Source organism: Homo sapiens, chromosome 2, assembly GCF_000001405.40.
Source record: "Homo sapiens chromosome 2, GRCh38.p14 Primary Assembly".
NCBI lineage: Eukaryota > Metazoa > Chordata > Mammalia > Primates > Hominidae > Homo > Homo sapiens.
In genome coordinates this window covers 237,080,798-237,102,242 of record NC_000002.12, presented here as the reverse complement: position 1 = coordinate 237,102,242, position 21,445 = coordinate 237,080,798, and the positions used below count along the sequence as shown (strand labels likewise).

Sequence of the window (21,445 nt, the reverse complement as noted above, 5' to 3'; positions counted from 1 at the left end):
TACCTAATACAATGCAATGTATAATTGTTATGCTGTATTTTTTTAGAAAAATTTCAAATATTTTTGAGCCACAGTTGATTGAATCACAGATGTAGAACCCACAGATATGGAGGGCCAACTCTTACTATCAAAGGTGCACCAACTTTCTTTTGGTTAGTATTTGCAATGGTATATCTTTTTCCAACTTTTAAATGTAAGAACACAGAAATATTAAAAGAGGATCTTTTGTATATAGCAGTTAGGATTTTATTTTTCTTTCAACATGTTAAAAATGCCATTTCACTGTCTGGCTTTACCACTACTTCTTTGAAGATAATGTCCCCCCGGGTCCTCCCTCTGTGCTTTTAATATATTCTCTTTGTCTCTGGTTTTCAGTAGTTTTACTACTGTTGTCTGGGTGTGGTTTTCTTTGCATTTATCCTCTGTGGGGGTTTTCTGAGCTTTTTGAATCTGTGGATTGATTTCTTTCATCACTTTCAGAAAATTCTGGGCTGGTACTTCTATTTTTCCACTCTATATTCTCGCTCTTCCTTGGATTCCAATTAGATAAATGGTAGATCGCTATGCTGTGTACCACATGTCTCCAACACAATTGCCAGTTAAGTTCCACTGTTTCATTTCTGTACTTCAGCTTAATATTTTATATTGACCTGTCTTCCAGGAGCAGTTTTACTAATATTCTACTTCTGGTTTATATTTATAAGCAAACACCTTCCCCCACCCAACAACCTTGTTTAATGGAGCGCTGACATAGCAAAACTCCAGGAAAACGGAACTGTTTCTCAAAGGTTTTTGACTTGCTTTTTGGTCTCCTACCCTAGGCAGCTTAAAAGTTCACCAAATGTTTTGAAGGGTAAACAGTGTGGTTTAGCCCTCTCAAGTCTCCATTGTTATCACCCCAGCCCTTTCAAAGTGCCCAAATTCCACAGGTTGTTAGGTTATTCAGCAGCAGGCCCCTCACCAGGCAAAGCTTGAATCTTGCTGTGCCCTGTGGAATCAGCAAACACCTGCCACCGACCCTGCAAAGAGCTGCTGCAGATGACCTCATTGCAGTACTCTCAAATCTTAGCTCCACATTCCTCATTGATTTAGGGGCTGATGCCTCTCAAGGGATAAATGTGGGTATTCACCTATTAGTTATTGACACAATTCTGAGTTGGCCTCAAGGTACTTCAACCCAGGAACAGACATTTTCATACTTACTACCACCCCCTGACTTTTTGTCATTTATTTTTCAAGCAAACTCACTAATCCTGTTAAATTTCCCACATTCTGGAACTGGCTGTTTCTTAGTGGGATGTTTAACTTGTTCCATTAATTCTCACATTTTATGTAAAGTAGCAGATCTAAACCTTTAAATATATATATATGTACATGTATATATGTATATATTTATATACTATATATATGCATATACGTATTATATATATATATATATATATATACACATATATATATATACTTATATATATAAAATTAAATTCAGGTGCTTTCAGTCTGATTCATGTGTTACACACTTCCCTTTGATTTGACTAGGTCCCCGATCCCCGCCCCAAGGCAGAATAGCATAGGTATGTAAAGATATGTAGACAGATCACTTCTATTGATCTCCGGGAACAAGAGACAGGGAACCAGGAAAAGTAAAACAAGGAATGAGGAAAAAACAATTGAAGGCTGCATTAGAGAGCTTATGACCATGGGACACCACAGCTCAATTTTTTGGGGGTTCTTTTTGAGGATCTAGGTATAGAACACATTGGAAATAGTCTGCCCTGAGACAAGGAAGAGAGTGTTTATTCACCATGTCATGTTCACAACTGCTGATGGGCTGCCCAATCAGGTTTGTGTGGGCATCCTGATAGTAGTGCCAGGGTAAGTCCCAGAGCAAATTTTAGAGATATCCAATGGATCTGAAACAGGGTGCTGTCAGGCTACACTTGTACACAGATGGCTGGCTCAGAAATAGCCAGAGCACAAAGACAGGCTGATGGATGTACTGGACATATTTCATGCTCAATCTCAATTTCTTACCCTGTGGTCTCAACAGCATTGATATATATTTCCATGATCCCTTCTTTGTTTCATTAAGGGCTGCAAGTACCGTTTTTCTAACTTTTATCTTTATTCGGTGGAATTTTCCAGCATGAGCTTTTTGACTACCCTACAGGTTCGATTTTGTTGCTTTAGAGATTGGCAGCATATCAATTTGTCCTGAGAACTGATAATAAAGGGAAGTGAAATCAAGCACTTACCCTGCCTTTCTTGTACAGTGATGAGGTTATTAAGAGTTAAAAACAGACACATATACAAATATTTCATGCTCAAACTGTCTCATTTTTACATGGCCTGTAGAAATCCCTTCAAGTTGGCTTGTATAACCCTTTGACAGAATCCCAAGTCTTTAAGAGCCTCCTTGAATCCTGGACATCTTGTACCAGATATGAACTTGTACACTTACTGCCCTGGAACTATTAGCTGTTTTGCAAATAAGTTCTGATTCCTTTTAATTGCAAATGAAAATGAAAGAACACCATCTGGGTACTAGTGGTGCTCATTGTTACTGAACTGTAATTACTCTAGACCTTTTCATGTAGACAGGAGTGGGAAATATTTACTGTTTACAAAGAAAAATAAAGCATATAATGAGGTTTCCATGTCAAATTTAAGATTACTGGGGTCTAATGTTACATGATTATTAATTTAATCTATACTTTTAATAATAAAAAAGATATCAAGATTTTGTGAAATTAATCATGAAAAACCACATTCATTAGTCTAAGATTTTTTTCTGTCCTTAGTGTATATCCCACTGACAATGTAAAATTGAAATATTGTGTTTGATCACTTGAGATTATTTTTTCTCTATGTAGTAGTTCACTGTCCTCTCCTTCCTCTTTAGGGAACTATTATATTCATTTTGTATATATCCCCCAATTGCTTAGTTTTGAAATATAAGGAAATATGTACATATATATAATTGTAATCATTCTCCTTTTGTTACCCTCAAAATAACCATATAAACTACATGTGCTTTCTATGTTCTCACTCTGGAGATCATTCCAGTTTAGTATAGAGATCTTCACTCCTTTTACACCTGCGTAGTCTACACTGCTGTTTATTCAAACAATCCCCTATTAATGAATATTTGGATTGACTCTAATCTGCTTTTAAAAAATAACCATGGATACAATTTGTACTTAATACCTGGAAGTTAAAAAAACTGGCACTGTCATTCTCTTGATCACTCTCCTGATCCTCTGACTTCTTGAATTCCCATTTCCTCAACTGTAAAACAAGGAATTTTAATATGACTTACCTATCCGGGTTAAATAAAATTGCAATTCAAAAAGTATTCCCATATATGTTAAGAAAAACTGAAATAGCCACTAAAATGCATTCAAAATAAATAAATTATATAATTATCACTACACAGATTCACCATACAACTCATTTCTACTTAAGAGATTCATATAGACACAATGACAAAATAGATTGTGTCCACAGAAAGATCGAGAGTGAAATTTCCAGAAACTATCTTAGATGAAATAATTGAAGAATTCAGTTAAATATTTATTGAACAAATGCAGAGTAAATGAACTAAGGGCTGTTATAACCTTAAGTTACAACAAACAACTTCAAATATTCAGAGGGCTGTCACACAGAGAATGAAAGACTTGCTCAGTATTTCTCCAAAGGGCAGAACTTGAGCCAAGCGATAAATATAAGCAACCAATGGGCTGCAGGATAGTTGTACAAAGTGTATCATGTATCTTCATAGCTTCTTTGCCCATATAATGCATTCCACACTTAAGTTTCTCCTTCTAAAAGGCGACAGCACAAGTTAATATGTCTCATAAATGTCTTAAATAAGTTGCATTTTCATGGCAAGCCCTCCACTGCCAGCAATGGATATACTCACACTATTGGAAAAAATCTAAAGTTAACAAACTGGTTTAGTATGGAAATGGTCTATTTGTTCCTCAGCTATGTTTCTGTATCTTACATTAGTGGCTCTCAGGAGGTGGGGGGTGAAAAGAGAGCATGTTCTCCAAAGAGGGTGAATCATAATCCCCAGTGATTCAGATACTGTGCCTGGGGACAATCTTTCTTCAAGTCCAAATGAATCATTATAATTATCAACCAATGGTACATATAAGAGTACGGCATGTGCTGGGACAGAGAAAAGACAGTTGACAAACACTATTCTACATGAAACAGGAAATCTTATTTTATGAGTCACTAGAAAACTAACTGTAATACTGACAGGCTCCATCCAGATTATTAAATACTACAAAATGAGAACTGTTTCAACAACTATTCAGCATAACGTTTATGGACAAAATGTATATAGTATATCTTATATTCTATATGTATTTTATCACATAGTAAGGAATGCTGAGGTGCTTAAGCCATCCAATAAATTGAAAATACAAACTTTACATTTCTACGTTTGTCAGTATACAGGATTCTGAAGATGAATCTTGAACTCAGAGTGATAAATCAGTTTTCAAGGAAAGCCACATAATCCGTCAGTCTGGCTAACTGCTGTTCATTGGGTATTGGGGGAACTGGAGCAGGCTCTGTATGTTAAAGAAACAAACACACTTCATGTTACATACCACAGTAACAAAGCTTTGGCCCCAACACCTACCTCCCCTAATGCCTTCAATTTTTAACAGTAAGTTAACTTTCTTAGATTTGTCCTGGTTTTAGACAAAATCTTACATCATAGAGGCTTGGACATTTTTGAAAAGCAAGCCAAGAAGTTGCAACTTTTATGAGTATGGTTTTACCTAACTGCTAGTAAAGGCATGTCTCATGTTGTTGTTACTGAAGTATTCTATGTAAAGGTTAAAGACACTTTTATCATGCAACATGTCTTTTAAAAGATCACAGCTCTTCTTGAAAACATCCTTACCCATGCAACATTAAATTCAAGAAATAGAGTGCTTCCCATGCCCCAGACATCACTGAAGAATATTAAATTGTCAACAAACCAAAAAAAAAAAAAAAAAAAAGAAAACCCACAAAGAACCTCAAGGAATTTACATTCCAACATTTAAATTACTACACGTCAGCCTGGGGACGCCTTCTGAATAACAGTACTGGTGAACAGCTCTGGCAGGCCTCCCTGACATGAGAATAAGAAGGCTCTGCAGCTGGCCCAGAGGAGGGCACCGCCTCAAGGCAAGCTCTGGGGGAGCCCAGTTTCACTCTTGTAACCAGATGTATTACTACGCATTTATGAAATTTAACCTCTGTTTACAAGGTAAGAAATAGATACACACACTCACACACACATATACATATATACTACAAAAAAGAAATTAGGAACAATGAGACATTAAAAAATGTGCATATGAAAATACATACCTGATAAGGGAATAAACTTGTTAAAGGAAACATCCAGGGCCCCTGCAACTAAATTCAAAAAAAAAATGTACAGCTCAATTTACAGAAGTCATTGTAAAGATCTTTCATAGAACATGCTATTTTCAGCACAACATGCATTTAACGGCCATTTATTTCTCAAACAGGGATAACAACTGTGCTCCATTATAATTCTTTATTATATTACTCTTCCCCCACTATCTCACTTGACTGGGATCATGTCTTCTCACTCTTTGTAACTCAAAGGGCTGAGCACATTGAGAATCCTTTACTGTATGTTCAGCAATGTCTAAACATAGGCATTCCGAGTAGGTGGAAGGAAATTTGGGCTGACGTGGATGAAGGCGGGTTTATGGAAGTGGGCATTAAGCTTGGCTCTAAAGACCTGGCAGAAAAGACACTCCTGGTCAGCAGGAGGAAGAGAAACTATCAGGCGGGAATGAGTGTGGCTCACTTCCAACAGGAAGACTGAGGGGCTGGGAATTCAGATAAAGACAATGAGGGCAGGTCATAGAAATTAAGGCCTTAAAAGGAGGGCTAGAGAAGTTAACTCTGTGAAAGTGGAAGCCACAGGAAAAGTGCCTGTATGACTTGAGTGCAAACAGAAAAGGGGGGCAGTTGAATATTTAAACATTTTTTTTTAATACAGACAACAGCTTGGATATGAAGGATAAGCTCAGTTACAAATGGCTCCATAAAAGGATGGAGATTAATATTTAGTAAAAACTAAGGTGTAAGGACCATGAAAAACCTACGTAAAATCATTTATATACAGGAAATACATTTTTAAGAGTTTAAACTAGGTGATCCTTTCTACCCCGTCTACTACGCTTTATTTAAAATGAGTTATTTCCATTGTGTTAGTATAGCCGAATTTTACATCCAATTATCAAAAACCAAAGACTGAAAACCTGAAGCAGTCTTAGAAGAGTCCAGTGCTGCGTAAATGGGTGAAAGCTCCACCTACCTGGCTTTCTGGGCAGAACCATTCTTGTGGTGGAATCAGCTTGCCATCCTTGTTCTAATATGCCTAAAAAAGTATATTACACATAAAGATCCGGAAAGAATAAAACACCCCACAAAATCCACAACTTGTCCATGACATTAGTTGTACAGAAGACCTGATGTGTTTAGTATAACCCGTCATATGCATTTTTACTAGAAAGGTATATTACAAAGAGCATGGAAACTTATTATTGAAATATTTCTGAAACAGGTATCAAAGCCTCATTTTACTCTATTAGGTTGCTATAATCATTAAAAGATGGTTAGTTTTCTGTCAAGAATATATTATAGTATTAACCTAATCAGTATTATTTAAAACAAACAGAAGGAAAACTGATATGGCGCCTTTTGTGACCATCATATCAGTAATAACAAAGATGGCAATAATAAAAACAGCTTCCATATATGGAAGGTTTACCTGTAGGTACCAGACTACGTGCTTTTATAGGGATGATTTTATGTAATCACCACAACTCTATGAAGTGGGATATAGGGCCATCGTTTGACAGGTATGGAAAATAAAGTTGAGGGAAATTCAAGTGATTTGTCCTAAGTCACATAGCCACTAGCATCAGGGACGGGTGGTACCAGCATTCACATCCAGGTGGTCAGCTGAGAATACGAGCTCTGAAGTATGTTATATATAGAAAATAAATGATGGACCAATTTTAAGAGCCAAAAGAAATAAATGTTTGTATGAGTAAATAAAAGTAATAACTTAGAACTTTCATTAACCTATCTTCATGTATCTACAACTATGCTAGGCCCTGGAAATTTAGGATGTAGTGCGTGATGGTGCTCATATTTTAGCTGGAGAATCAAAAATGTCAATCATGGCAAAACAATGCAACAAGGTGTATACGATATATATATATATTTTTGATATGGAATCTCACTGTGTTGCCCAGGCTAGAGTGCAGTGGCACAGTCTCAGCTCACTGCAACCTCCACCTCCTGGATTCATGCGATTCTCCTGCCTCAGCCTCCTGAGTAGTTGGGATTACAGGTGCCTGCCACCACACCTGGCTAATTTTTTGTATTTTTAGTAGAGACGGGCTTTCACCATGTTGGCCAGGCTGGTCTCGAACTCCTGACCTCATCATGATCCACCCGCCTCGGCCTCCCAAAGTGCTGGGATTACAGGTGTGAGCCACTGCACCTGGCCAGGTGTATACAGTATTCTATAACAACGAGCAACAGGAAGGATTAGTCTGGGCATCAGCTGAGAAATGAAAATGCAAAGTTACATTTGGAGAGACCAGCAGGTATGAGTGGGGAGCAAGCAAGCGCCTAGGGTATGGGTCAGAAATGGCAGGGAAAATGAAAAGGGACGTGGGGATGATGCTGCCTTTATCAAATAAGGGTGAAATAAGGATTTCCAAATATGAGTAAAGAGACCAATTAAGACATATTTTTGTAACCAACTGTGTGGATACTCACACATTTGCTTGCTATAGAACTATTAATATGCTTGACTGCAGGGTGCCTGCTGGGTGTTCCACAACACCTGTTTCATATCACCTCTCAAAAAACACAGCCTGGACTCCAAAAGCATATTCTGTTCCAAGTGTTTCAGAGGAGACTGTGAACCTACAATTCACACTTCTATTTTCCATTTTCCTTATAAGTAAAAAGTAAGCCAAAATTACCTTTCACAGCCTCTTCTACAGGAAGTCCAACAAAGGCTGCAAAATCATCGGCGATGATTGAAGTATACGCTTGAGAGACCAGGGCAAAGGCGCGTCTCCTTGTTGCATCTATTGTGGGAGTGGTGGGTTGGCAGAGAGTGAACCAGGGAGCAGCATTTTCAAAGCACATTGTTAAATCACACCACTGTCCTTGTCTAGTTTTCATAAGCAAGGCCAGATGAACCCAAAGATTTCTGTGCTTATAGATACAAATACATATGCCCAGTATGTACGGGGGGTTCAAATATTGCTGGAAAAAAATACATTTCTTACACTTCCTCTTGGATGAAAAATCTCAGATAATGAAAATTACAAAGATGGAAAAAGGTTACTAAACACAAGGCTCTAACCCTAAGAAAATGCAGTATGTTTATGCAATGGGGATATAAATTTTACTTATCTTATTTCATTTACAAATGCTGGAATCAAAGGAGCAGAAAACTGATTTGCGTAATCAGCTGTCCTTTTCAAAAACGTCTCTAATACAGGACCACACCTGGGAGTTACAGAACAAATCTTGTAACTGGAGCATTCTTCCAAGTCTGCATCAAACTCTTGACTGAATTAAGGTTCAAAATCCTAAATTCCCACCTTGAAAGAATGACTCTAAGAAGGGACTGCCAAACAATACCAGCAACGAAAACTTTCCTGAAAGTGGCATTTAGGATTGTCCCCAGGCTTCCATACCCAATTAAATAAACTCAGGAGTACGGTAGAGTTGAGCACTGTGAAACCAGCTGGCCTTTCTCCCTGGGCATTGCTCATTGGTAATGCAAGAGCTCCTCCACCTGGTGGTCAACATGCTTAGGAAATATTCTGGATTTTACTTTCCATATTTAATAGGCCAGTGTACATATGTAAAACAAACACCCTAACATATTTAAAATCTTCTCTCCATTCCTGGGACATTGTCAAACTACACCAATTCCCCCAGATACCCTTTGTGCCAAACGAGTCCACTGGCTCTCAGACAAGTCTTACACCTTCTCCCCCTGGGGCTTTTGGTTTATGCTATCCCGTGGCCTGAAATGCCCTCCTGTCTGCTCTCTACCATTCCTAAGTCTGTTTATAATTCATTACGATCTCTGCCCTTCTCTAAACTCAGCAGTATTGTTTACACTTCTACTTTAACAAGCAACTTTCCACTACGGCAGACACTGTTCCACCTATCCCCTTCTTTTCAATTATATTCCAAACTTCTCGACAGGAAGGGGTATCTCTTATCCTCAAAGTCCCCCAAACACCTAGCATCTCCAGTGAAATATATGCCAAATACATGCTTGTTGATGGCATCACGAGGACCAAAATGGGGCACGACTCCAACACTTAGGCTTTGTTTTCTCAGATTCCTTAAAAACTGCCGACACTCCCATCCCTTCCCCTCATCTGAGCCCGACATCCTCTCCAGCTTTCACTCAGCCACTGTCTGCTCTTCCTTCTGTGGCTTTACACTTATTATTGTAGGTTCCTTCCTTCCTTCAACCAGCCTGTAACCTAACAGACTTTGCAATACCAAGAAACGTTTTCTATTAAGGCTGCATACATTCAATGGAAAAGAACTGAGCCAACAATGGAAAAGAGCCAACAATGGAAAGTATACTTTTTTTTTTTAGAGAAGTAAAAGTATACACCATAAAACTATATTCATTTGGTAAGTCAACTGTATTTCAAAAACATTTACTTCAGTTCAAATATTCTGGCCATATTTTCAGAGTGGGGAATAAAACAGGAATACAGTAAGAATGGAGGAGATAAAAGGGAGAGAAAAGTAAAAAGATATCACTGGAAAAGGAAAGAAAAACATGTGATGGGAGAAGTGAGTTGACAAAGCAAAAATAAAGGCTAAGTGTTCTCTGTCTCAGAAGCTGCAATATCCACTTGGCACGAATCACATCTACATTCCGACTAGTCACTCTGTGATCCTCAAGTTGTGAAATCTGTAACCTCAGGCCCTAGAATGACACGCTGGAAGGTGGAATAAATTGAGCCAGCACCTAATATCTGTGGCAGTAGTTGATGGAACACATTTTTGGTGAAAACAAATGCTAACAGAATGCAAACTCAGTTGTTCAACAAATACTCAAGTGCTGCTCATCCATCACTGCCAGTGCTGGAGACAGAAGGGAAGATGAACTAGTCACTCCCATCCTTTCGAATCCTCTTCTGTCTTTCCCAGCCATGCTGTGTGCCAGGGAGGTTGGCCGCCAATGCCTGTTGCACCTGAGCTCTCTTGCTTTGGCGAATTGGGGCTCTATCAGGTCAGAGGCTGGGAAGGAAGGTCAGGGAATTCACTTCCTATGCCCTTTCCCTGCCTTGCTCCAGCTGACCTTCTGTATCCATCCTGTGGGGCAGCCCCAGTAACACTGGCCCCTCGCCTTGCCCTTTCAAGCCTCAGATGAGAATGGCTACTGTCTACCTAGTTTCTAAGTACTTCCTCAGCCCTTGTTTCCTGCAAAAATAGTTTTCACTAGCTTCTCTTAAGTCATTTTCAGTTTTCTAATAGGACTGTGCCTAATTTAGAAGAGAATGGAAAGAGATCTAAGAAAGTGATTGTTCTCAACTAGAAAATAAGTTTCTAATAAGTTAAGAAGCAAAATGTTAAATTCATCAGTAAGACCAATCTGTTAAGAGACTATCCTGACCTGGCTGCATTTTACAAAGGAAACCACAGTACCATTCATGAATCTGGAGATTTGTAAAAGTCTCAGGATATGTTCAGGAATACTGTAGTGCTTTAGAATAAGGTACATGTTTATATATTAACTCATTTACAACCTGAAAAAGTACTATTTCTAATCACATTTCACAAATGAGGAAAATAAGACACTGAGGAGTCACCCTAGTAAGTGACAGAATCAGAATTTGAACTCCGGAAGCAAGGACCCAGAGCTTAAACTCCCGCATGGTACGCTATATAGCCTTTCCTGGGTCTACTGAACTGCTTGCCAGGAATTCTCAATCTCATGGAATTCAGTGAGAGGCGGCTCCGGGAAGGAATAAAACTACGGACCCGACGGTGCACAAGAGAATGCTTGCTGAACGAGTAAGGAGTTCCCAAGCCCAGTCCTGCCAATCAACCCGCTGTAAAACACTGGGAAAAGGCACATGGCCTGTGACCGCCCCACCACAATCACAAGGCTGAATCACGAGGATACTATGGAAGTCCACTATAACGCTAATTCCTCAGGGCTTATATGAAGAGGTTTCTGGTGCTACTTTCTGAAACTGCCCCTGCTGTACCTGTGCAATCTTCTTCCACACTCCTCCCTTCCCATCTATCTGCCTGCCTTAGGACTCTGCTCATTTCATTCACATTTAAAGTAGCTGCCTCCTGTTCTGTCACTTACATTGTTATGTTTTATGCTGCTAAGAATTTTACCATTCCAAGGGAATTATGTGCATTTCAGAAACAATCTCTGCTGTCTGCTGCCCTGTAAAGCTGATATCCCTTAGCAGAGTGATGAACAGTTATTAAAAAAATTCCTGCTCACTGACTTCCTCCACAGCAGGAAGGCATACAGTGAAGGTGGATATTAACTATGGAAGTAAGGGTAACAATAAGAAATAACAGTACATGACAACATAAAACAAGATTATATAATTTTATAAAGAGTGAACCAGGAGGACTGGAAGCAAATGCTAGGGGTGAGAGACTGTAGAGAGGCAGGGAATGAGATTTTATTGTGGGATCAGTGCTCTGTCACACCAGGCTTGTAATCTTTCAAAGCAATTAAAAACACATTTGAGCATCTATGTATTAAACTGATAAATTATAAAATCCAGAAGCTTAAGACAACACCTATCAAAGGCTGAGGCTGACAAAATTCAAAGAGCAGTCTCTATTTTCACATCTCTACAAACCCATACCTTAAACTTATTAGAATATTACAAGATCTCGTTTTAATAGCAAAAAAAACTCTTAAAACTGACGAGCAATTTCTGTCTAGAATTAAGAAACAACAAAAGCACAGCAGCCAATGTAATCTCAAGCAACAAAAAATGAAGAAGCATGATTAGGGCAAATCTAAAAAATTCTGAAAACTGCTCTTTTCACCTATCAAAAATATCTACTTAAACACACACCACTGATTTATTACTTCAACACTGCAGCACTTAGGGACTAAGTCTCATCTAATTTCATTTTTAACCACAAAGAAACACTACCTCTAAGTGCTTCCATAATTGGCTGGACCGTCTCAGACCACTGGTGAGCGTTGATGGTTGTATAGATCCCAGGGAAATCTCTCTGCCAGATTCTTTGTCCTACTGACCAAATTCCCCCAAGTTCAGAATTTGCCTGCAATAAATATTATTGCCTTAGAGGGTATTCACTCTGTAAATGCACCAATGATTGTATCTTAAAACAAAATACCAGAAATGATATAAAAACTTGTTAGCTACATCATTAAAACCTAATTCAACATTTATTTTAAAAGATGCAATTACTTTTTCAGCCCAATCACTATCAAAAGGTTTTTAAACACTATGAGCAGTAAGGTAAAATTTATCTGTAGGGCTGATATAAATTTATTACAATAGCAAATTAAGGCATGAGAAAGTAGTCAAAAAACATTTCAGAATTAAGCCTGGGGACTAATTAGCTTAAGGATTGTTTTTAAAGATGTTGTATTTGTATTTCATAGATATATTATGAATATATATTTAGGTCAAAAGTAATAGCAAAATGGTTAACAATAGAGACTCTCAATCTAAGATGTCATACATTGTAGCCTCTCTAAGGATTGAGTTTCCACTAACGCCATTGAAACTTATGTGCATGATTTATAGTACTTCTTTATTTAGCCAAAGAAGCTGAGGAATATTCCAATCTTACTTAACAGAACAGAATGTATGAGGGAAAAAAAAAGAGTAAAAATACTAATCCGATCTCTTGATGAATATCAATAAACAAAAGTTTAGATGAATTCTTGGTAATATCCCGAGAATGTTAAAAATTTCACTTGACACTCATGTTAGACACATGGAATCATTTGACATTAAAATTTTACTTCATTCCACTTTGGAAGAACCTTTTCACAGGCTATTTCTTCTAATCTCCCAACCAAAATAAGAAATTTAAAATCCTAATTAACAAAAATAATCTTATTGCTGTCAATCATTCTTAGAGTATTCTTGTAAACGATGGCAGTTTCAAAATAAGTACCATTATAGGAAGCAACATAAACCAGCTGAAAATCACCTCAGCTGCCTCCGCCACCTCCAGGAGCTTCCTTCATCTAAACTGGCTCAGCTGTTTAACTAGGGAAGCTGCACATAAAAGCGTCTCAAGAAATCTAATCAGTAGGAACTGAGCAGAAATTCTACACCATCCCAGCAAAATTCAAATTTCTGATTAGAGGACTCTGAAGATTTATTTCGAATCCTTAATACCAATCTGATGACTATTACTAGGACGTCAGATAGAAAACATAAGCTTATAAAAGGTTGCCATTTAAGGGAATGTCATTACATTAAAGCAGTAAAATAGGTTTAAAGGATACTTACAGATTTTATAGCAGGTGGTATTCTTTTCCAAAGATATCTTGCATTATTCCTAATTTACGCCACCACAAAGAAGAATAATCAATTAAAAACATAATCATCTCAGGAAATGTTAAAAACTACCAGGTCCCAAGCCAAACATACAGAAGTATACTTCACATAACACAAAGTAAAATTTAGTTTTATATGAATTTGTTTTGGGGAAACAATAGTGGTTTTCCAGATAAAAAGGACATGAAATATTTTTACCAAAGTAATATTTTGCCATTTCTAGTGAATTTTTTAAAAATAATAATCCATATCCTAAATTTAGGCAACAGCACACTAAAAACACGAGGATTTATAGACGGCCCAAATTATTTATTAGGATATAAAAGTAAACAAATTTATGTACTATCAAGGCTGTAGCATTCCCTGACAATAAGCCTGGTACACAACACTTCTCTCCCGATTACAGCCCCTCCTACCAGTGGGACACAGCTTCTGAGGCAGGAGTTTTTATGGGTTTGGAGGCTTGAACTACAACAAACATATAATGACAGTTTTACAAAACAAAAACAAAAACCTTACATATGTGTAATAAAAATTTCAATTTAGTTTTTAAAAAGATATAAAAGAAAGGTTTTGGAAGAGTTTAAAATAAAATGTTATCAGGAATCATCAGTGAGTCACAGAACTATAGGAGACTTTTTTTTTTTTTTTTTGCAGTTATGCTTTCCTTTTGAGACAGGGTCTCACTTTGGTTGCTCAGGCTAGAGTGCAGTCGCGCAATCTTAGCTCACTGCAGCCTTGACTTTCTGGGCTCAGGTGATTCTCCCCACCTCAGCCTCCCAGGTAGCTGGGATTAGAGGCACACGCAACCATGCCCAGCTAATTTTTTGTATTTTTAGGACAGACGGGGTTTCACTATATTCCCCAGGCTGGTATCAAAACTCCTGGACTCAAGCCATCCACTTGCCTTGGCCTCCCAGAGTGCTGGGATTACAGGCGTGTGCCACGGCGCCCGGCCTAGAGTAGTTATGCTTTCTGACTTTTCCATGTGAACGTGAAATAGGAATAATTAAAAACAAAAAAAACTTAAAAAATCTCATACATGTTTGTAACGAATTCCTCTTGGCTGCAATCTTCTCTTTTCACTTCTTTTGTTTTATTGATTATATATGAAGTTAAGTAAATAGAGGTCATAAAAGTTTCTTAAAAAGACAAAAAGGTTAAATGAATTTACTGACGTAATTTGTCATAATAAATTGAAATGTTTTCTAGAAAGTATATGTAAGACAATGACGACCTAATCATAATTCATTAACCTATGATTCAATAGGAAATAGACGTTAACAATTACTGTAATAAAAAAGGTAGCTCGTTGTGCCTATGTTTAGTGGTGCTACTTCAGTGCAGAAATATTTCCATATAACTTTGAGAAACCTGTTGCTCTTAGCTTTAGGTTAAACATACTTACATGTCATTATGGAGCAAATATAAAGCTAGAAGCTGACCATACACTGGGGGTGTAGCAATTCCTCCAGGGGCCTAGAAGGCCAAAAATGAAAACAAAACAAAACAACACAAAATTTTAAAAACCTCATTTACCCTTTAACTTTCATTTTTAAAATAATATTTTATAAATGCTAATTTTAAAAGTAAGCCTTTTTAGTCTAAGACTATAAGTAATCTTATAGTCCTATTATAGATTTAGAAACAGCTTAGAGAAGTATCAAACACGAAAATTCTGAGTATTAAGTTTATATTCGTCATCAGCTTTGATTTATCTCCCTTTGGGCTTCAGTTTCTTTATACATTCAAGAATATGTAAGTGGATCCCCTTCCCCAGTTCTCAAATTCCCATTTAAATGATCTTACTATTATAAGAAACAAATTCGACAGATTCCTGAAGCATTCTGATTCTGCCCATTACATCAAGCGTCCTGAATAAGAGACAGAAAATCACCACAGCTGCGTTGCAAAGACAATTCTTTCCATTTTAACTCAACTGGAAAGTATCTATTATCTATTAGTGAGCTGCTGCTTCTGGATGTTGTCTCCTTTATTTAATTTTAAAACTAATGATATAAACCCTTTTTAAGTGTCTAAGAAAAACATTAACTTTAACAGCTGCATAACTTTCATCTGTCTTACTGAAGACAAAATGGCAAGCTAACTTGACAACATTACGAGAAAGGCTTTGTGAGTTAAAAAAAGGTTACAATGGTCACATTTTTCTTGGTGTGCGTGTGAGTTGCGGTGTGTGTGTTAGTGTGTGTGTGTATACCAAGATCTTTAATAAAACCCACTTTACTACCCTCTCCCAACCCGATACTGGGAAGGAAAGATGCCTAATTAATATGAGCTCATCGGTAGGTGCTGGAGCAAAGACGCACAGGGTTTTCGGGCTCACAAGCTGAAGACACATAACAAAAAGGTCCCGGCGAGTTCGGGGAGACCGGGCCCGGTCGGAGCAGGTTGCGGCGGTCAGGGATCCACACGTCCACCTCCCACGCCCGCCCCGTGAGCTCCCAAAGCCCGCTAGCCTCAGACCCCGTTACCCTGGAAACTGGTGCCGCCCCAGGGCCTAAGACTACTCCGCAGTTTCTCCCAGCGCGACGCAAAGGGTTACCTCGAGCTCCTGGTTCTCGCACTGATCCAGCAACTTTTTGAAACTAAAGGCGCTTTCCGCCATCACCGCCACTGGCATCTTCGCGGCCGGCCTCGCCGCTGCACCGTCCGGACAGCCAAACCCCAGACTGTCCCTCAGGCGTCGCGCCCGCGATGACGTTTAAAGCCGCCGTTGCCGCCGAGCGCCCCTGCGTACCAGACCGTCAGTTCCGGGGCGCCGTCAGACATCGCTGCGGCCGGGATAGGGCGCCGCCGTTCTGGCCGGCTTTCTCGGTGCCCTGGAGGACCTGGCCGGCTCCGCGGGAAGCTGTACTCAGAGCGCGCGGCCGCCCTCTGGCAGGGAGGAGTTCGTTGCACTTTTGAGGGTTCTTCACGAAGACATCCAATACATAGAAAACAAGTAACAGCAACAGTAACGAATTTTTAAATATTAAAATTGCTGGGGAACACGACGGATCCTGCAGCTGCTCGGCTGTCCCGGTCGTCAGTGACGCTAGGGCTCCGCACCGTACCCTGCATACCGTAGGTGCTCACGAAACGTTCGTGAGTTCCCTGCTCTGAGGAAACAAGCTTAAAAACTCAGAATCTAAGGTGTGAGTCTCCGCAAACCTGCTTGTTGGGCAGCGTCCCCCGCCCGGGCTAGCCCTGCACGCCCCACCCCGGAGCCACGCTTCTCCAGCCGGGACCCCTGCCTCCTTCCAGGCTATTCTCGGAACCGCAGCCAGAGGGAATTTTTTTTTCCTTTCCTGAAACGTAGAGCAGATCTGGTTACTCTTCTGCACAACGCCCTAAAATCTAGGGCCCTTCCCATCCCTCAGAATTTACATCTAATTCTCAGCTCCCCTCCGGCTTGCTGTAGCCATCCTGGCTTTTGTTTAGCACAGCACTTACTGTTAGTGACATTATATTGTATATTATTAACATATTTGTGTTTTACATCCCTCACTAGACCCCCAGGAAAGAGGCTTTGATGTGTTGCCTGCTGCAAGGCTGGCTGCATAATTTGTGGAGCTCAGAGAAAAGTGCGGAGCTTCCTTGTTCAAAAAACAGAAAGAAAGTGCCTCTGAGGTCATAAAATATAAAACTTTCTCTTTCCTCTCAGTTTCTCTCTTTTCATAGTGTTTTTATGTGTTATTTAATATCATTCCAAGAAAAATTTAGATTTAAATTGTTAGCATGAAGTTCACCATCCATCTTTACGTTGTGCAATGCCAGTTTTAAATACTAATATAAGTGCACTGATCTCATATGTGGAATCACAGAAATTATGCAATTTGTACTTCATAGCTTATACATGCATATAGATTTTGTTTTTACCAGAACCACGCTGGTAAAAACAGATGCTGCACAAAGTGAACTTGCCCGTTTTCATCGCACTTTACGTGCACGAATTCTACCTCTACTCTCGACCTGGGACTCACCGATGCGTAAGGAAGGACTGAAAAGCAAAAGAACTATGGACTGGCCTTTTGGCATGATCAGGTGTCTAATATAAAGAAGTGCATGAATAAGAAAATATATGATATGAGTGATGGTTAATACTGACTGTCAACTTGATTGGATTGAAGGATGCAAAGTATTGATCCTGGGTGTGTCTGTGAGGGTGTTGCCAAAGGAGATTAACATTTGAGTCAGTGGGCTGGGAAAGTTCGACCCACTGTTAATCTAGATGGACACCATCTAATCAGATGCCAGTGCAGCTAGAAATGTAAAGCAGACAGAAAAATGCGAAAAGAGAGACTGGCCTAGCCTGCCAGCCTACATCTTTCTCCCACGCTGGATGCTTCCTGCCCTCGAACATCAGACTCCAAGTTCTTCAGTTTGGGACTTGGACTGGCTCTCCTTGTTCCTCAGCTTGAAGACTGCCCATTGTGGGACTTGTGATCATGTGAGTTAATACTTAATAAACTCCTCTCTCTCTCTCTATATATATATATATAAATATATATATCCTATTAGTTCTGTCCCTCTAGAGAACCATGACTCATACAATATGGTTTCTTCATGCTTCTTAAGACACCATTGCCTTCTTTCTGCCTTCGAAACAAGTTTACTCTCTTAAGGGGAAAAGTGCGGCCTTTTGGGGTGTCAGCACCCAGCTCCCTCAGTTGTAGATACAGCACGAGTACCTTGTGCTCACTTTGAGTCTTGCTGGCCTCGCAACATCAGGGGTCCACAGGGAATTCAGTGTGCATGGTGCATTATGAATGCTGTATGGAACATCAGTGGCCACACGTAGAGGCCCGTTTCCCTGGCTCATGCTCCATTGTCTTAATGGACCTCACTTACAAACCACAAGTTTACAGATAAAATTATTAAGCATTTCAAGACAGAGACAGCCATCCTTGATTTTTTTTTTTTTTTTGGCGTAATCCACAACATCTCTGTGTGGAAATGATTGTTTAGTAATTCCCTGAATGAAATGTAAAGAAAAAAAAAAACACTTGTGTGTTCCTCAAGGAACTGCCAACATTAAATAGAAGGGCACATAAGTAGTTAGCAGAACTAGAGAGATCTTGGAGTAATAAAGCAACAGAGTTTCATCCACGGCTGCAAGGAAGAGAAGGACTGAGGGCAGTATGATTCTAAGATCACTTGACAGAACTATGAGGAGCAGGATTTTGAAGCTTGTAATAATGGTCTCTAACCCTTTTCGGGCAAAGAAATATTCAATAGAAGCCCTGCTTGGCTATTTGATCATTTAAAGGGAAAACTATAATGTGAACGCTTTGGCAGGTGCTTTGGGCCTCTAAGAGGTGGAAACCTACAAAGGTGGCTGTTTGCTGAATAGGAAATCCCGGTGAGGCTTTTGATACATATCACAGGTTAGAGGTGGAGATGGGGTGTCACTTAAAGGACTAAGCTGTTCTTTGGAAGGCCAGTACAGGAATTTGGGAGTTGGAGCCTGGATGCCAGAGAGGGTAGGAGGAGAGTCCTTGGGGGGCAGAGAGGAGTCTCTGGGAGCAGTTGGGGTCTAAGGTGAGACCCTGGCCTGGACACTGGGAACTCCAAGTGGCAGTGAAGCACTGAAGCGTCTTCAGGGCTGTGATGGTTGACATTCAGTTTTAAGTTGTCACTGTACTGTGCTGGAGCCACCTTTCCCCCCAGACTTTTGATAGTAAATGAGAGAAGTGAAGGGGGACAGGAAAGAGCAGTGTGGTGTAAAAGGCTGTCATCTCCGGAGGTGCGACTCAGAAGAGGGATCGAGACTGGGAAGAAGCAAGAAAGTCAATGAGAGGCACCCACAAGGACCCTCTGTTCCTGGAGATGCTGGCTTTGGAGTGGGAAGGACTGCGTTTCTCTCTGCTCTTGCAACGAGGGATGGGGTCAGCGTGCTGAAGGGAATCATGCACTCCGGAGGCTATAGGATGGGGGTCTCAGACCCATTACCACACCTGGTCTTCTCCTTGTGCAAACTGGCCCTTGTCCCATAACTCTTCTCTGGGAGAAGCACAGTGATTGAGGAGGTTGGAAATTGTACTAGGATGGCTGATGCAGTTTGGATGTTTGTCCCCTCCAAATCTCGTGTTGAAATGTGATCCCCAGTGTTGGAGGAGGACCTCATGGGAGGTGATTGGATCATGGAGATGGATCTTTCACGAATGGCTTAATGCCATCCACTTGGTGATGAGTGAGTTTTCACTCTAGCAGTTCACGTGATATCTGGTTGTTTAAAAGAGCACGATATCTCCTCCCTCTGTCTTGTTCCCTGTCTTGCCATGTGGCATGCCTGCTCCCCCTTCACCTTCTACCATAATTGGAAATTTACTGAGGTTTCCCAGAAGCAGAAGCCGGCACTATGCCTCCTGTACAGCCAACAGAATCATGAGCCAAAATAGACCTGTTTTCTCCATAAATTACCCAGTCTCAAGTATTTCTTTATAGTAACGCAAAAATGGACTAGCACAATGGCTAATTCAAAACTCTGAAATTTGACGTTTTTTGGTCCTATTTTCTGCCCTTTCAAAGTCTTCTTCTCCATTTGCTCCTGGGAACTATAGAGTCATTTATTATGAATAAGGTCCCTGAAGAAGTGATGTCACAAGGGCCTCAGGTGTGCTCCCGCCAGTTTCACACTGGTTGCCCATTTGCTTCGGGATCACAGTTTCCATGGCTGGGTCTAGGACCACATGATCTGTCTGATTCATGTCGTGAAGAAACCACAGCAAGCATTCATCAAGTGGCCCATCTCCCTTCCTGGGGCTCTTTGGCCCATGAACCTGCTCTTGAAGCTCTGGGATGTGGATGAGTCGGCCAGTGTGGGAGAAAGAGTGGGAGAGGAGAACGGATGATGAGCCCGGGTCACCTCTGTGCCCACAACACTCCCATTGTGTCGGTCTGGATTGTAGCAGGAAACATATGGAATACTCAGTGTATTCATCTGTTTTCACACTGCTGTAAAGAAATACCCAAGACTGGGTAATTTATAAAGGAAAGACGTTTGATTGACTCACAGTTCAACATGGCTGAGGAGGCCTCAGGAAACTTACAATCATGGCAGAAGGGGAATCAGGTACATCTTACATGGAGGCAGGTGAGAGAAGAGCAAAGGAGGAATTCTCAAACACTTATAAAACCGTCAGATCTCGGCCGGGCGCGGTGGCTCACGCCTGTAATCCCAGCACTTTGGGAGGCCAAGGTGGGCGGATCATGAGGTCAGGAGATCGAGACCATCCTGGCTAACATGATGAAATCCAAAAAAATACAAAATTGGCTGGGTGTGGTGGCACACACCTGTAGTCCCAGCTACTCAGGAGGCTGAGGCAGGAGAATCCCTGGAACCTGGGAGGTGGAGGTTGCAGTGAGCCAAGATCGCACCACTGCACTCCAGCCTGGGCAACAGAGTGAGACTCCATCTCAAAAACAAACACACACACACACAGAAAAACCCCGAAACCGTCAGATCTCATAAGAACTCACTATCATGAGAACAGCATGGGAGGAACTGCCCCCGTGATCCAATCACCTCCCTCCCTTGACACATGGGGATTACAATTCGAGATGAGATTTGGGTGGGGACACAGAGCCAAACCATATCTCAGATTGGGCAATTTGAGGAAAATTTAATAAAATGGCTATTTACAAAGGTATTGGCAAGATACTGGAAAACTACAAAGGATAGTACCCCAGGGCTCACAATAGTTGACATCATTACCACCCCTAGAGTTTAAAAAGTGCACGAAGGGGAGTTCCACTTCTGTGGAGACACTTCCCACTGAAACAACCATAGCTGGAGAAAATTTCTA

The 21,445-nt window shown here is 40.3% G+C and overlaps 1 protein-coding gene and 1 long non-coding RNA gene across 10 annotated transcripts in view, besides 4 other annotated features; one reads left to right on the top strand and one right to left on the bottom strand.

The window, feature by feature from the left end:
* Positions 1-1,768: 1,768 nt before the first annotated feature.
* Positions 1,769-16,354, bottom strand: COPS8 (COP9 signalosome subunit 8). Of its 2 annotated transcripts, NM_198189.3 has the most exons (9): positions 16,201-16,354; positions 15,447-15,511; positions 15,046-15,116; positions 13,590-13,638; positions 12,249-12,381; positions 8,046-8,153; positions 6,359-6,421; positions 5,374-5,421; positions 1,769-4,580 (listed from the first exon to the last, which is right to left on the bottom strand). In NM_198189.3, coding segments are annotated over exons 3-9 (483 nt in total). In that variant the 5' UTR covers positions 15,048-15,116; positions 15,447-15,511; positions 16,201-16,354; the 3' UTR covers positions 1,769-4,500. The 2 variants fall into 2 exon arrangements, with proteins under 2 accessions (NP_937832.1, NP_006701.1); NM_006710.5 differs by lacking the exon at positions 15,447-15,511.
* Positions 15,519-16,413: an enhancer, noted in NCBI's record as "H3K27ac hESC enhancer chr2:237994473-237995367 (GRCh37/hg19 assembly coordinates)". NCBI's record gives its function as "activates a minimal SCP1, AML or CMV promoter by ChIP-STARR-seq in naive and primed H9 embryonic stem cells {active_cell/tissue: H9 hESC(naive and primed)}" and the evidence as "EXISTENCE:reporter gene assay evidence [ECO:0000049][PMID:30033119]".
* Positions 15,519-17,308: a biological region, named in NCBI's record as "H3K27ac hESC enhancers GRCh37_chr2:237993578-237994472 and GRCh37_chr2:237994473-237995367".
* Positions 16,224-16,773: an enhancer, noted in NCBI's record as "active region_17365". NCBI's record gives its function as "activates an Ori minimal core promoter by ATAC-STARR-seq in GM12878 lymphoblastoid cells {active_cell/tissue: GM12878}" and the evidence as "EXISTENCE:reporter gene assay evidence [ECO:0000049][PMID:35858748]".
* Positions 16,414-17,308: an enhancer, noted in NCBI's record as "H3K27ac hESC enhancer chr2:237993578-237994472 (GRCh37/hg19 assembly coordinates)". NCBI's record gives its function as "activates a minimal SCP1, AML or CMV promoter by ChIP-STARR-seq in primed H9 embryonic stem cells {active_cell/tissue: H9 hESC(primed)}" and the evidence as "EXISTENCE:reporter gene assay evidence [ECO:0000049][PMID:30033119]".
* COPS8-DT (COPS8 divergent transcript) overlaps positions 16,422-21,445 on the top strand; it is a 175,051-nt gene continuing 170,027 nt past the window's right edge. For all 8 annotated transcript variants that reach the window (NR_187934.1, NR_187938.1, NR_187936.1 and 5 more), the window contains exon 1: positions 16,422-18,087. This is a non-coding gene — a long non-coding RNA (COPS8 divergent transcript). The remainder of the gene's footprint in view (positions 18,088-21,445) is intronic.

Excerpts from the sequence above, each read along its gene's own strand:
- COPS8 (NM_006710.5), bottom strand. The coding sequence starts at position 16,278 with ATGCCAGTGGCGGTGATGGCGGAAAGCGCCTTTAGTTTCAAAAAGTTG. Across the intron at positions 8,154-12,248 it reads AATTATGGAAGCACTTAGAG|ATGCAACAAGGAGACGCGCC; the intron begins GTAGTGTTTCTT and ends CTCCCACAATAG. Across the intron at positions 4,581-5,373 it reads CAAGTTTATTCCCTTATCAG|AGCCTGCTCCAGTTCCCCCA; the intron begins GTATGTATTTTC and ends TTTAACATACAG.